The 12,970-nt window shown below is 60.5% G+C and overlaps 7 annotated features.

The window, feature by feature from the left end:
- Positions 4,398–4,916: an enhancer, noted in NCBI's record as "H3K27ac-H3K4me1 hESC enhancer chr19:1748390-1748908 (GRCh37/hg19 assembly coordinates)". NCBI's record gives its function as "activates a minimal SCP1, AML or CMV promoter by ChIP-STARR-seq in primed H9 embryonic stem cells {active_cell/tissue: H9 hESC(primed)}" and the evidence as "EXISTENCE:reporter gene assay evidence [ECO:0000049][PMID:30033119]".
- Positions 4,822–4,871: an enhancer, noted in NCBI's record as "active region_13624". NCBI's record gives its function as "activates an Ori minimal core promoter by ATAC-STARR-seq in GM12878 lymphoblastoid cells {active_cell/tissue: GM12878}" and the evidence as "EXISTENCE:reporter gene assay evidence [ECO:0000049][PMID:35858748]".
- Positions 4,917–5,436: an enhancer, noted in NCBI's record as "H3K27ac-H3K4me1 hESC enhancer chr19:1747870-1748389 (GRCh37/hg19 assembly coordinates)". NCBI's record gives its function as "activates a minimal SCP1, AML or CMV promoter by ChIP-STARR-seq in primed H9 embryonic stem cells {active_cell/tissue: H9 hESC(primed)}" and the evidence as "EXISTENCE:reporter gene assay evidence [ECO:0000049][PMID:30033119]".
- Positions 4,917–6,193: a biological region, named in NCBI's record as "P300/CBP strongly-dependent group 1 enhancer GRCh37_chr19:1747113-1748312".
- Positions 4,994–6,193: an enhancer, noted in NCBI's record as "P300/CBP strongly-dependent group 1 enhancer chr19:1747113-1748312 (GRCh37/hg19 assembly coordinates)". NCBI's record gives its function as "activates an origin of replication core promoter dependent on BRD2, BRD4, P300/CBP, MED14 and CDK7 cofactors, with strong dependence on P300/CBP, by STARR-seq in HCT116 cells {active_cell/tissue: HCT116}" and the evidence as "EXISTENCE:reporter gene assay evidence [ECO:0000049][PMID:35650434]".
- Positions 9,133–9,355: a silencer, noted in NCBI's record as "fragment chr19:1743951-1744173 (GRCh37/hg19 assembly coordinates)". NCBI's record gives its function as "represses an EF-1alpha promoter that drives an FKBP-Casp9 reporter gene in an ReSE screen in K562 erythroleukemia cells {active_cell/tissue: K562}" and the evidence as "EXISTENCE:reporter gene assay evidence [ECO:0000049][PMID:32094911]".
- Positions 9,522–10,021: an enhancer, noted in NCBI's record as "H3K4me1 hESC enhancer chr19:1743285-1743784 (GRCh37/hg19 assembly coordinates)". NCBI's record gives its function as "activates a minimal SCP1, AML or CMV promoter by ChIP-STARR-seq in naive and primed H9 embryonic stem cells {active_cell/tissue: H9 hESC(naive and primed)}" and the evidence as "EXISTENCE:reporter gene assay evidence [ECO:0000049][PMID:30033119]".

The raw sequence follows: 12,970 nt of genomic DNA, 5'->3' as shown, positions 1-12,970 counted from the left end.
CCGTACCCGGGGGACAGCGGGCGGGGGTCCGAGGACAGACTCTGCCCAGGTGGGGCTGGGGGCCTCGACCCAGAGTCTCCGATTTCGCGTCTCTGTGTGATTCTCTCCAGAGTCCCAGATGTGGCTTTCTGCCTGGCACCCCCAAGTCCATCTCCAGGGAGTTTCTGGGAGTGTGGCTGGACGGTCGCCTGTAATGTACGTGTCCCCCCCCCCCCCCGTTCCCTACAGACCCCCAGGAGCTAGATCCCCACTGCAAGCTCAGCTTCCCCCGACTCCCACTCACACCTACGGAGTCACAGCCCCCTTCCCACAACCTCTTTGTGGAGGAAGTGGGGGAAAAGGGAGGTCCTAAGGCTAGGTCAGGGCCTCCGTGCGCCCCAGGGGTCAGCCTCTGCCCATGTGTGGGCACCTGGGCCTCCGTTTCCCCAACTGTACAATGGGCTGCCCGGCCTCGGGGTTGCCAAAGGCCCCTTCTAATTGCAGGGCCTTTTTACAGTGCGGCCGCTGGAGGCACTGGAGCCTGGGGGTGACCACTAAGAGCCCCTGTCACCCTCCAGCCCACGGAGGCTGAGGCTGGATCCCCTGTCTTCTGAGACGTCGCTGGTGCAAACTCCTCTTTGTCCCTGGGGCTTCTCTTCAATGTGGGGGGAGGCAGGGGTCTCCTTTTTCTCAGCACCTGGAGACAGGTGAGCCCCAGGGGCCCCTGGGAACTGGGATAGATGGGGGAAGGGCTCCTATAATCAGAGAGACCCCCAGGGGACTAGATCCCGCCAGTGGGGTAAGGTCAGGGCTGCGGATCTGGAGGGGCCAGACCAGAATCTAGAGGATGCTCTGTCTTGTAGGCCAGAGGCTACGGTGCAGAGTCCAAAACCAGCCTCAGCCCCTTCCTGCTTCCCCGTTGCCTCTGCCCCCCCCACCCCCGGGGTAACGCTTGTGCACTTTCTAGAAGAGGAAGGGGATGGGTCAGGCAGTCGGTTCGCGGGAGCCCCCAGTTACCCCCATCTCAGAGGGTTGCATCAGGGCTCAAAGCTGAAGGAAGAGGGGAGGACACAGTCAGGCTGTCACTTCCCCTTTGGTGCAAACCTTCTGGGCAAACCCCGGCCCCAGCTTTGCACCTGCATCCAGATTTCCTGGCCCCTGTAGACGTGGCTACACATTGGAGATGCGATTTTCTGAACCAAGACTAGGTTGGCTCTGGAATAGGGCCCTTTCTGTGCCTCAGTTTCCCCTTCTCTGGTGTGGGAGGGGGTGCCCTCCAGCCTGCCCAGCTGGGAGCCGGAGGTGAGTCTATGCTGACCACAACAGCCAGAGAGAGAGGGGGCCTGAATGATCTGGGCCCCCAGCCTGAGGTGGCCTGATCCAAGTCCTGGGGAGGGATAGGGCTGAAGGGGACCCCTGTTAGTACTCGCTGCTTAGGGCTCGGCATTTAGTAAGTGCCTGTTATTTACCAGGCATACTCTCCTCTCTCAGCCCCAGAGAGGGGGAAGTCAAATCACAATTTTTCCGGGTGTCTCTGGCCCAAGGTGGGGGGGTGGTGGCCCTAGAGTTCCCCCCTTCATTCCTACATCTGCCCAAGTGCTAACTCCTGCCCCCTGAAGTGTCGGTCCCTAAACTTTCCAGTTCCAGGGTTCAGGTATAATTTCTGGAGTTTACATAATTACACCCATCTTCCAGGTGGGAAGAGAGGGGCAGGTCCGAACAGTCGCGTACCCCACTCCCCGTGCAGATGCTGAATCTCGGCGGGGGGGATGTGGCTGCACAGAGCCCCAGCCTGCGCTCCTCATTCTCACCCTCCAACAATCACAGATAATTAAAAATAATCGTGAGATCTAAAAATCAATCAGCCGCCATAAAACGCTAGCATCCCAGGCTCAAGAAGCGCAGACCAGGTGGGGGCTGGGGGTCTCTACGGGTGGGAGGATAACAAGGTGGAAGGAAGTTCCCCCAAATGCCAATGTGGGGGAGCTCCTAGGGAGCTGGGATTTTGCAGGCTTCCTTTTAAATATATTTTTTACAGCTTGATGATCGTGTTCATTTTAATAGCAAGCGTGTGTGGCTTTTCTAGCAGGGAAAGCATCCATTTTGAAAGAGAAGACGAGGGTCAGGGACTCCGAGAGGAAGAGGGCCTCTCCCCTCTGCTGCCTCAGGACACGCTAAGGTGGCCACAGACCCCTTCCAAAGCTCCCTAGACTTGGAAGGGGCAGCCCAGCCTGGTGGACCTAACCCTATCCAGGTCTGCGAAGCCCCTCACCCCTCCCTTCGGCTGATGGACACTTGGACTCCCCCAGGGATGGGGATCTCACTCCTTGTAGAGGCTGTGGTCCCGTTGAGAGATTGAACAGAATTTTGCTGGCCCCAAGAGAGGGACTGTGGCCCCCTGGAGCCCCCAGCTTGCTTCTCCCCACCAGCAGCAGCCTTTTAGTAATTAGTAAAATAGAATTGAGCCGGCCACCGGGTAGGCTGGCTGCCCAGGCCCAGATCGATCCTGGGTCATTAGGCAAATTGTGGGCAGGGGGAGGGGTGGGCTGGATCGGGACAAGAAGTCCCCCTTCCCCACCCCACAGGGACCTCAGCCACCTCGAGGAAGCTCTCTGGCCTCAGTATCCCCTCCAGGAAGATGAAAGTTTGACTCCCAGAGCCCGAGTCTGTGTCTGGGAGTTGGGGAGGGGGACCTCAGCAGGTGCTGGGCTGCCCCAGACCAACGCTCACCCTCTCTGTGCCTGGCCTGCGTCTGGGAGGAGTCAAAAAGGGCAGCCTCTGGTCCTGCCAACCTCAGGGCTTGGAGAGTCCCGCGGGTGGAGGGGAGGACTGGGGGCCTCCACCCATGCCCCAGGGGTGCGCACTCTCCACGGCTTCAAACTCCCTAAACGGACCCCCTAAGCTTGAACCCCCTCTTTAATCCTCCACACCTCCCCCATTTTTGGACACACCACCTTCCCTGTTGTTATTGACTCTCCCATTGCAGCTAAAAATATCAAAGGCAGAGTCAGATACCTCAAGTTTTCCTTTCCTGGGGCTCCCCCAGAACCCTGCACAGTGCGCCCCCAACTGACTTTCTGATTCGATTTGTCTCCCACCGAAATGAAAGTGTCCGGGCTCTGCGCACCCCTCCCTGCTTTTATTAAAGCGAGGTTTTACTAAACGATGGCAATGAATGCGCGCCCCACCCAAGCCCAGCCGCAGCCCTAGATCCGCTCTGCTCCCACTCCCGGCCCCCGAAACCTGCGGGCGCCCCAAATCCCGGCCGCCGGTGCCTAGTGTGTGGCAGGAGTTCTCCCTCTGGACTCCAGCCGCCTTCGTTCGGGCGGGGTCTGGGGATTTTATTTAGATTTGGGGGGAGACTCTGGGCTTTTACGGCCTGGCGGGGGTCCCGGCGAGGCTGAGCGCGCGGCTCCCGAAGGTTCCACGTTGGCCGTGGGGACGTCCTGACCTCCCCACCCCGGGTGTCGCGACTTTGGGGTTTCGCCCCTGGCGGGCCCGACGTCCCGGATTTCCTGCCCGCAGTTGCGGGGCGCCCGGGCAGCTCTGGCCCGCGGGTGGATGCTCCCGCGGGCTCTTAGGCGACAGCTGTGCCCGATCGATCCCCGCGCCCGCCCGGGCTCCGTTGCCCCCGCCGCGGCGAGCGGCTCCATCGAATCCTCATCGCTCTCGGGCCGCGCCGCCCGCCTCGCGCTCGGCAAACACCGCGCTTGTTTGCGCCGGGGCACCGAGGCTGGGCGGCCGCGGCTGGCCGGGGAGCGGAGGGGTTGGTCCCTGGGGCCCCGCGTCCTCGTCCCCTCCCTCAGCAGCTTGGCCTCCGTCGTCCCAGAGTTCTGGGACACAATTAGAGGAGGGAATTCTATGCCCTCTTCTCGGGGCTCTGTCTGGCAGGCGCGGGAGACGGCCGGGCGCGGGACTTCCGCCGCATCGCCCTGGCCGCGCCTCAGTTTCCCCATCTAGAAAGTAACACGCTGGGGCGGGGGCGTCCGAGGGTGCCCGAGGGGAAGGGTCCGGGCTCAGGCGGGAGGTCAGGCTGCTCTCCTCTCGCGGCCTCCGCCTGCTTTGCCTCCTCTGTGCCCGGCCCGACCGATGCAGGTCAGAGAGCCGGGCTGGGGGTTGAGGCGCAGCCGGAGGGGTCTGGGGACAGGAACGCGCCCCGTCTCGCAGGCCTGGGCCCCTCCTCACTGGACGCCGTTGGAATCGTCTCCCCGCAGCGTGCGCTCAGGAGAAAACCAGTTCGTTTGCTGCAGTTTGCACTGTGGGAAAATGGGGCTTGGCGGCGAGGGGCGCGGGCTGCAGCCCCCGCCGGAGGGTGCGCGGGAGGGGAACGGCCTGGATCAGGGGTTGGGGGCCTGGAGAACGCCCCACTCCAGGGCTCGGCTGACAGCCTGGGGACTGGACGCTGCAGGCCACGGACTTCCCCGACGCAACGAAACCCGCGTTGGGCGCCGCGCTCCGGAGGGGCCCAATCGTCGGCCCAGCGGCGGGGTTCGCGGCCCCCGCAGCTGAGCGGGATCCCGGCGCTGAGTTAAACCACCTGAGCGCCCTCCCTGCCCTGCCAGAAGACAGGCTCCTTTAGCCATTAAACATGTAAATATCTAGATTTAATTCTCTGCGCACTCTTCTGGGATGGAGGCAGCCGGCGGATCCCGGAGCGGGGCTCGGCGGCCCGCGGTGGGTTGGTTTGCGGAGGCGCCGGGCTAGGGGACCCGAGCAAGGCTGCAGCGGGGCTGCCCTCGGGGCGTCTCCAGGGCCGCCGGTTCTGCGGGACCCGAGCTCGCCGGCTTGGACACCTGGGAGTGTCCACTCTGCACCCTGAAAGCCGAGACGAGACGACAGGTGGGTGGGGGGAGCACAGGCCTGGGGGCGCCCACTTCGCAGATGCAGAGACAGAGGTCCTGGTCGGGAGTGAGGACCCCGCCCCGGGAGGGTCCGAGGGGCGTCCCCAGGTGGGTTAGGCTGGGCGCATCTGGCTCTGAGCCTCACCTGGGCCTGGCCTGTTCCGGGCCGGAATGGCGCCTCGATTAAGGCGCGGTTTATCTGGACACGCCCGGGCGCTTTCTGCTGGGTCAGGAAGTGGGGAGAGCACGGCACCTCCTCCCCGCAAGACCGACCAACGCCCACGTCCTTGCCTCTCTCTTTGGGTCTGTCTCGCCTCGTGGACCTCTGGGTGGGGAGGGGGTGTTGGACTGGGGAATGGGGAATGGGGAAAGGGGAAGGGATTCGCACCTCCTTAGGCAGAATCTGCAGACCGGGGATGGGGGAGGGGAACCAGGCCATTCGCTGGATTTAGCAAACTTCTCAGATCACTCCTGCTCCCCTGCCCCCACCACCCTAGAGCTGCGGCCACAGCCTCTGTCCCTCCCGCTGGGGCTCCCATACTTAGGGAGGGGAAAAGTCATCCCCATCCCCCTGAGATCAGAACTGGGGAGGCGGCAGTCCTCCCTTCCTGGAGGAGGAGCCCTGAGGTTGGGTTTTGTAGGATGTGTAGGAGTCCAAGTCAGGTAGGCCAATGGAAGGACGAAAAGACTCCTTGTCATCTGAGGAAGAGGCGGTGGGGCTGGGGAGGCGTCTGGCGTTAGCCCAGTTTCGGGGCCCTCACAGGACTTCATTAGGGAATGTTTGTTGAATGAGTCAATGAGATAAAACTGAATGAAGCTGGGGTGTGTGGGGGGGGGGCATGTGTTCAAAGCCAGGCCTTGAATGCCAGGCTGGGGGTGGTTGGGCCTTCTCTCCCTGGCTGTGAGGCCAAGCAGGGAGGGTCCCGGGCGGCCCTTAGTATAATCCCCCCACCCCACAGGTTAGTACGCACCCAGGGAGGCCATCACAGATGTGGTGGGGTGGAATGACTCACCCCCTCTCCGTGCTGTGCGGTGTGTGTGTGTGTATGTGTGTGTGTGTGTGTGTGTGGCGGGCGGTGGGGGGTGGCGGGCGGTGGGGAGTGGCTGGGGGAGCTTTGTCCCTGGGCCAGCAGGTGAGTCACCTTGCGCTAGAAGAAAGCTTGTTTCTCCCATTGTTCAATCAGCAGCCACCTTCCGGGCTCGCCAGGGGTGGGGTGGCGTCCCCCATTCCCTGGGGGAGGGGTACGTCCTGCAGGTCCCCGCTCTATCTCCTGCCCCATCCCCACTGTACCTGCAGGGAGCTAGGGGCAGGGGTACTCTGAGGAAGCAACTCCAATTATTCCCATTTTTCAGGTGAGGAAACTGAGGCACAGGGAGGTCCTGAGATCTGCCTCAGGCCACCAGCTGGCGAGCTGACCTAGGCCCGAGGGACTGGGCGGCGGGGAGCTGAGTCCCAGCACGCTGAGTCCCAGTGAGTGCGTGCTGTGTGGACACGCTCAGCATCCAATCTGGCTGGCGGTGGAGCCGGTCTCTGGAGAGGGTTGGCCACGCAGAGAGTCTCAGCTGAGCTCCTGAGTAGAAACGCGGATCTCAGTTACAGAGAACGTTCCCTGCGCCAGGGTCCCCCTCCGACCCAGCCCTTCGGGCGATCCCAGGGAGCGCAGGACCCTCTGGACCCGGCAGTTGGGGGAGCTCTTCAGCCTGAGCTGGAGGGGTCCCCCGTTCTGGCCCATGCGCCGGTCAAAGGTGTGGAGGGTATTTGAGGAACCGGCTCCCAGTGTCCACTCCTCACTCCAGCCGCACTGGTTAATCATTTGAGGCAGCGGACAGGGGAAGGGGCCAGCCGCCTCCTGCTCTGGCCATCACCTGCCCACCTCCCAGCTCCAGGCCTGCAGCAAGAGAGCAGGAAGCAGAGCGAGCCCTGTGGGGCCCTGGGCAGGGCATAGAGGGAGTCCCAGAGGGGCCTGTTGGTTGGGAAAGCTCTTGTGGGGTGTCAGAGCAGAGACTTCTCTCTGGGCCTCAGCTTCTCCCACTGGGGAGGAAAACTTGATGCTCTTGAAGGGTGAGGATCCTCCTACCTCGTCCTCCCCCTCCTCCTCCATCCTCCTCCTCCTCTCCCTCCTCCCCATCCTCCCCCTTCCTCCCCCTCCTCCTCCATCTCCCTCCTCCTCTCCCTCCTCCCCCATCCTCCCCCTTCCTCCCCACTCCTCCTCCATTTCCTTCCTCCTCTCCCTCCTCCTCACCCTCCCTCTTCCTCCCCACTCCTCCTCCATCCTCCTCCTCCTCTCCCTCCTCCCCCTTCCTGCCCCTCCTCCCCATCCTTCCCCATTCTTCCCACTCCTCCTCTCCCCTCCCTCCCCATCCTTCCCCCTTCTACTCCCCCTTCTCCCTCCTCCCCATCCTTCCCCATTCTTCCCACTCCTCCTACCCCCTCCTCTACTTTCCTTCCCCCTTCCCCCCTCCTTCCCCCTCCTCCTCTCCCTCTTCCCCCCTCCTCCCATTCCTAGTCTCCCTCCTGGCTCCTCCCTTTCCTTCCTTCTACTCCCCCTTCTCCTTCCAGCCCTCCCCTCCTCCCTTCCAGCCTCCTCTCCCTCCCCCATCCACTCTTCCTTCTTCCTTCTCCCTGCTCCCCTCTCCTCTGCTTCCTCCGTTTCTCCTTCCCCCTCCTCCCCTCCCCTCGGTGCTAACAGCTGTAATTGCTGTTTCTCCCACCTCCCTAACAAGCACGGGACCCTCCGAGCAGAGCCGCCCGCAGTTCCGCTCAGTAATCGCCTCCATGGTAAATCCCCACAATTGGGCTGGGCAGGAGCCGTTGGCTTCGCGCTCTCCCTCCTGCTCGCTTTAAGCAAAACCAAACAAAACGTTTCTGTTATTACTGAACTCCCTGGGCGCCAGGAGGTGAGAGGGTGGCATTTCCCAAGGATGGAATTGGAGGGGGAGCCTCCTCCAGCCCCTCATCACCTCACCTCTGCCTGGAGGTGAGAGTTGGGGGGCTCCGCAGAAAATGGGAAACATTGTCCCCCCACCGTGGCAGGCCCCAGTAGGAGGGTCCCTGGGGGCTGCCAGGCCTGGGGGCAGGGGCTCCCCAGGGGTCATAGCGCCGGCAAGAAGAGAAGGGGATTGGGGAGGGATGGGGTCATCCTGTTGACCCCTTGCTTTTACCGATGAGGAAACAGGCAGATCCAAGGCTCTTACCCCCCAGAGAGGGCGCCTCTCATTCCCTGGAGAAAAACCAAAGAACCACCCGCCCCCAGCTCTCAGAGGGGAATAGAAGATGGAGGTAGGTGCGTGTCCAGCCAGCTCTGCATCTCCAGGGGTGGCGTACCCGGTTCACAAGTGGGAGCCCCGACTCCTGAGGGCTACTGGGTGATCTCCATGCGGCTGCTGGGCAGGGCAGGTGACCTCTGACCCCAGCCCGCCCAGTCCATCCGCCAAGGGTGCCTCATTCCCAAAGCGCCTGCGTGGTGTCCGGGGCTTCTCCCCTTTGGGGTTGAGGGTGGGTTCCAGACTCAAATCCCAGCCCCGCCTTCATTTCCCACATCAGGGACCCTTCTGGAGCCTCAGTTTCCCCATCTGTGGAATGGGGATAAAACACACACAGTGCACCCTTGAGGACATCTGACAGTGCTCAGGAAAGGCTGTGACAAGGGCGGCCACCAGCCTCTGCCCACCCCATAAACAGCCAGGGTGGACCGGTGGGGGAGGGGCAAGGAATCCTGGGCCAGGCTCAGAGGACAGAAGCTGGAGGGGGGAAGAGGAGGAGGGAGGGGGAGGTGAGGGAAAAGGATGAGGAAGAAGGGATGGGGAGGAGGGGGAGGAAGAGGAGGAGGGGGAGGAAGCAGAGGGGAGATGGGAGGAGGGTGAGAAAGGGGAGGAAGGGGAGGGGGGAGGAAAGGAGGGGGAGGGAGGAGGGGAACTGGAGGCTTCCCAGAGGAGCCCCCCTCCCCCCACAGCCCGGTGCTGCTGCTGGAATTGATCCTCCCATCGATCCTGGGGGAGCTGGAGTCGGGGGCCAGCTCTGCTCTGGAGGCCAGGAGGAGGCCGGGGCAAGGAGGAGAGGTTTGCACAAAGCGAAGGGAGGCTGCTTTGTCCCCATCTGCGCAGATTCCCTCATAGTCCCTTGAGCTGGGCGGTGCAGGCCCCACTTCACAGGTGAGCAAACTGAGGCCTGAGGGGCGGATTCTGGGGAGATGGTACCGGGGCTCCCGTGCAGTTGGAGTTAGGTGGCCTGGGGTTCACCAGCCTCAGTTTTATGGGTTTGTTCCAGTTTCCCTGTGGGCACCAGCCCTGGTTTTCTGTTCCTTCCACCTTCCTGGGGCTGGGGCTGTTTTTTGATTCCTCTCAATGGGTAGAAATGCTGGGGCTGCAGGAGAGGAGTGAATGGGGTGCTCGAGGCAGAGCCCAGGCCTCCTGGGAGCCAGCTGGTGTGGGGCCGGGCTGGGGTGGGGGCCTGGATTTTGCTTCTTTAAGAATCGTCAGGCGGGGTGCAGTGGCTGACACCTGTAATCCCAGCACTTTGGGAGGCTGAGGTGGGCGGATCACCTGAGGTCAGGAGTTTGAGACCAGCCTGGCCAACATGGTGAAACCCCGTCTCTACTAAAAATACAACAATTAGCCGGGTATGGTGGCGGGCACCTGTAGTCCCAGCTACTCGGGAGGCTGAGGCAGGAGAATGGCGTGAACCCGAGAGGCGGAGCTTGCAGTGAGCCGAGATCGCGCCACTGCCCTCCAGCCTGGGTGACAGAGCAAGACTCCGTCTCAAAAAAAAAAAAAAAAAAGAATGGTCAGAATGGGGGCCTCTGTTCATGTGCCCTTCCATCCCTTCCGGACACTCGTTCCCATTTTGTGAGTGAGCAAACTGAGGCCGCAGCTCCCTGAACCTTAAAAAGGGCAGAACTGGGATGTGGACTCAGGCCGTGGGGCTCACCACGGGACAGGCCAGAGCTCCCGAGTTCAGCTGGCACCCCTTCCCCTGCTGACGGGCCCTGGGCAGCTCAAGTCACTCGCCGTGCCTCAGTTTCTCCATCTGTAAAATGGGGACCACGTTGACTTATTGAATAGATGTAAGTCGCATGCTTGGCCCGGGCCCTGGTACGTGGTCAGCGCTCATCCACGTCAGCTGTTCTACCCGGAGGGCGGCCCGAGGAAAACCCAGGTGTGCAAGGAGGACCCCGGGCACAAAGCTGCAAAGAGGTGGCTTCGGCGGGGAACTAGGAGTCAGAGGTCGGTATGGCCAACAGGGCCCTACTGTGCCCCTGCCCGGTCCTGTAAAATCCGTCCTCCTGTTCCCCTGCTGCGGACCTACTGTGTGCCCCCTGCTGCCAGCATGGCGGGCTCCTTTTTCTGTTGTCTCCCTCTCCAAGCCTGGGAGCCCTTGGAGGGCACAGAGTTTGTGATGATGTCCCCATCACCCGGCTCCGGCTGGGGGGCACGCCGTGGGGAAACGTGCACGAGAGTTCTGTTCAGTGGAATCCGGAGCACGGGACTCAGGGCCTGTCTAGCTCATGAAGGCACCGTGGCGCTGGATCCTGGTCTTCCCTTTGTTGGGGGATCAGATCTGGGAGGGCTGTAGGGCCCAGCCAGACCCTTGTCCAGTGGCCAAAAGGGGCTCCTGGACAGGCCTGGCGTGTGGACTTCGTTGGGTGCAGCTGGGCCGGCCTGGGGACGCCACTCGAGGGAGAATTCCCTGAAGCAGCACTTTCTCTCGTGGGGGATCAATGTGTGGTGGAACACATTTGTAAACGATTTTTTTTTTTTTTTTGAGACGGAGTCTTGCTCCGTTGCCCAGGCTGGAGTGCAGTGATGCAATCTTGGCTCACTGAAACCTCCACTTCCTGGGTTCAAGTGATTCTCCTGCCTCAGCCTCCCGAGTAGCTGGGATTACAGGCGTCCGCCACCACACCCGGCTAATTGTTGTATTTTTAGTAGAGATGGGGTTTCACCATCTTGGCCAGGCTGGTCTTGAACTCCTGACCTCGTGATGCACCCGCCTCGGCCTCCCAAAGTGTTGGGATGACAGGCGTGAGCCACCGTGCCCGGCCTATAAACGATTATTTATGCCAGTGGCAGCCCACATTCAAAGCTTGGGCTGAGACCCCGGGGAGGAGGTTGCGACCCCAGGGAGGGGGTTGCGACGCCACAGTCCCCTGCTGGTGGATTCTCCTGGCTTGGTCACTCTGCATGTAAAGCATGTCAGTGTGTAGCCCAGCTCTCAAATCTGCCCGCTGGTGGATCACAAGGTCAGGAGTTTGAGACCATCCTGGCCAACGTGGTGAAACCCCATCTCTACTAAAAATACAAAAATTAGCTGGGTGTGGTGGCACATGCCTGTAATCCCAGCTACTCATGAGGCTGAGGCAGGAGAATCACTTGAAGCAGGGAGTTGGAGGTTGCAGTCAGCCGAGATTGCACCACTGCACTCCAGCCTGGCGACAGAGCGAGACTCCGTCTAAAAAGAAAAAAAAATCTGCCCGCTGGGGATTGAGTCCAGGTTCTCATCCCAGCTCTCCCATCTCCCAGCTGGTGTCCTTGGGGTGGCTCTCACGACCTCTCTGTGTGGCAGATCCCTCCTCTGTAGGAGGAGATTTCTTGAAAGCATAAAATGAGAAAATTCTTATAAGGTCCTTAGAACTGCACTCAGATGCTGAGCAGACAGAAGCCGCTGCCATTGTCAGCCTCTATGGGCCCAGAAAGACTGGGGAGGAAAGAATTGCAAACAGACAAGGCAGCCAGAGAAAATGAATTACAACCAAGGTCGAGAGATGTCGCTGGAAGAGAAGTCACAATAGGTGGTTCTGAACCTTTGCTACACACAGGCCATAATTTTGTCTCTGAGCTTCCCAGTGGGCAATGCAAAAAGAGAAACACTGGCCGGGTATGGTGGCTCATGCCTGTCATCCCAGCACTTTGGGAGGCTGAGGCGGGAGGATCACGAGGTCAGGGGTTTGAGACCAGCCTGACCAACATGGTGAAACCCTGTCTCTACTAAAAATACAAAAATTAGCCAGGTGTGGTGGCACGCACCTGTAATCCCAGCTACTCAGGAGGCTGAGGCAGGAGAATCAGTTGAACCCAGGAGGCGGAGGTTGCAGTGAGCTGCGATTGTGCCATTGCACTCCAGCCTGGGTGACAGAGCAAGACTCCGTCTCAAAAAAAACAAAAAACAAAACACAAAAAGAGAAACACTTGCAAGTATGTATGTCTATGGCCACGCACACTTTTGTGGCCATTTGAAGGCATGGATGTGGGCCTGTATGCATGGGGGAGGGCAGGTGCATGCCCGAGCCAGGTGTGGTTGATAGAAAGTGGCCCCAGTGGCCGGGCGCGGTGGCTCACGCCTGTAATCCTAGCACTTTGGGAGGCCAAGGCAGGCAGATCACGAGGTCAGGAGATCGAGACCATCCTGGCTAACACGGTGAAACCCCGTCTCTACCAAAAATACAAAAAAAAAATTAGCCGGGCATGGTGGCGGGCGCCTGTAGTCCTAGCTACTCGGGAGGCTGAGGCAGGAGAATGGCGTGAACCCGGGAGGCAGAGCTTGCAGTGAGCCGAGATCGCGCCACTGCACTCCAGCCTGGGCGACAGAGCGAGACTCCGTCTCAAAAAAAAAAAAAAGAAAGTGGCCCCATGGTCTCAGCCCTCTGGTGTTTCATCCTGCAAATCCCTTCCCCTTAAGTGAGGCCTGGGCTTGTGACTTCCGTGTAGCCAACAGAATAGGGCAAAGGTGTTAGGTGTCACCACCACGATAACTTGTGTTGTATAAGACTCCACTCTGGAGTTGGGCACAGTGGCTCACACACCTGTCATCCCAGTGATTCAAGAAGCTGAGGCAGGAGAATCGCTGTCGTGAGCTATGATCGCACCATTGCACTCCAGCCAGGGCAACAGAGTGAGACTCTGTCTCAAAATAAAAAAAGCCTCCATTTAGCAAACTGAGAACCTTCTCTCCTGGTCCCTGGAAGAGGCCAGGCAGGGAACGGTGGGTGGGTGAACTCTGACAGTCAGGAAGAAAACAAGGTTGAGGTGGGAGGATCACTTGAGCCCAGGAGTTTGACACCAGCCTGGGCAACATAGTGAGACCCCTTCTCTACCAAAATAAAACAAATCAGGGACTTCAGTCCCACAACCTCAAGGACTCGCATTCCTCTGAC

The sequence above is a fragment of the Homo sapiens genome, chromosome 19, assembly GCF_000001405.40.
Source record: "Homo sapiens chromosome 19, GRCh38.p14 Primary Assembly".
Lineage (NCBI taxonomy): Eukaryota > Metazoa > Chordata > Mammalia > Primates > Hominidae > Homo > Homo sapiens.
This window is presented reverse-complemented; position numbering and strand designations above follow the sequence as displayed.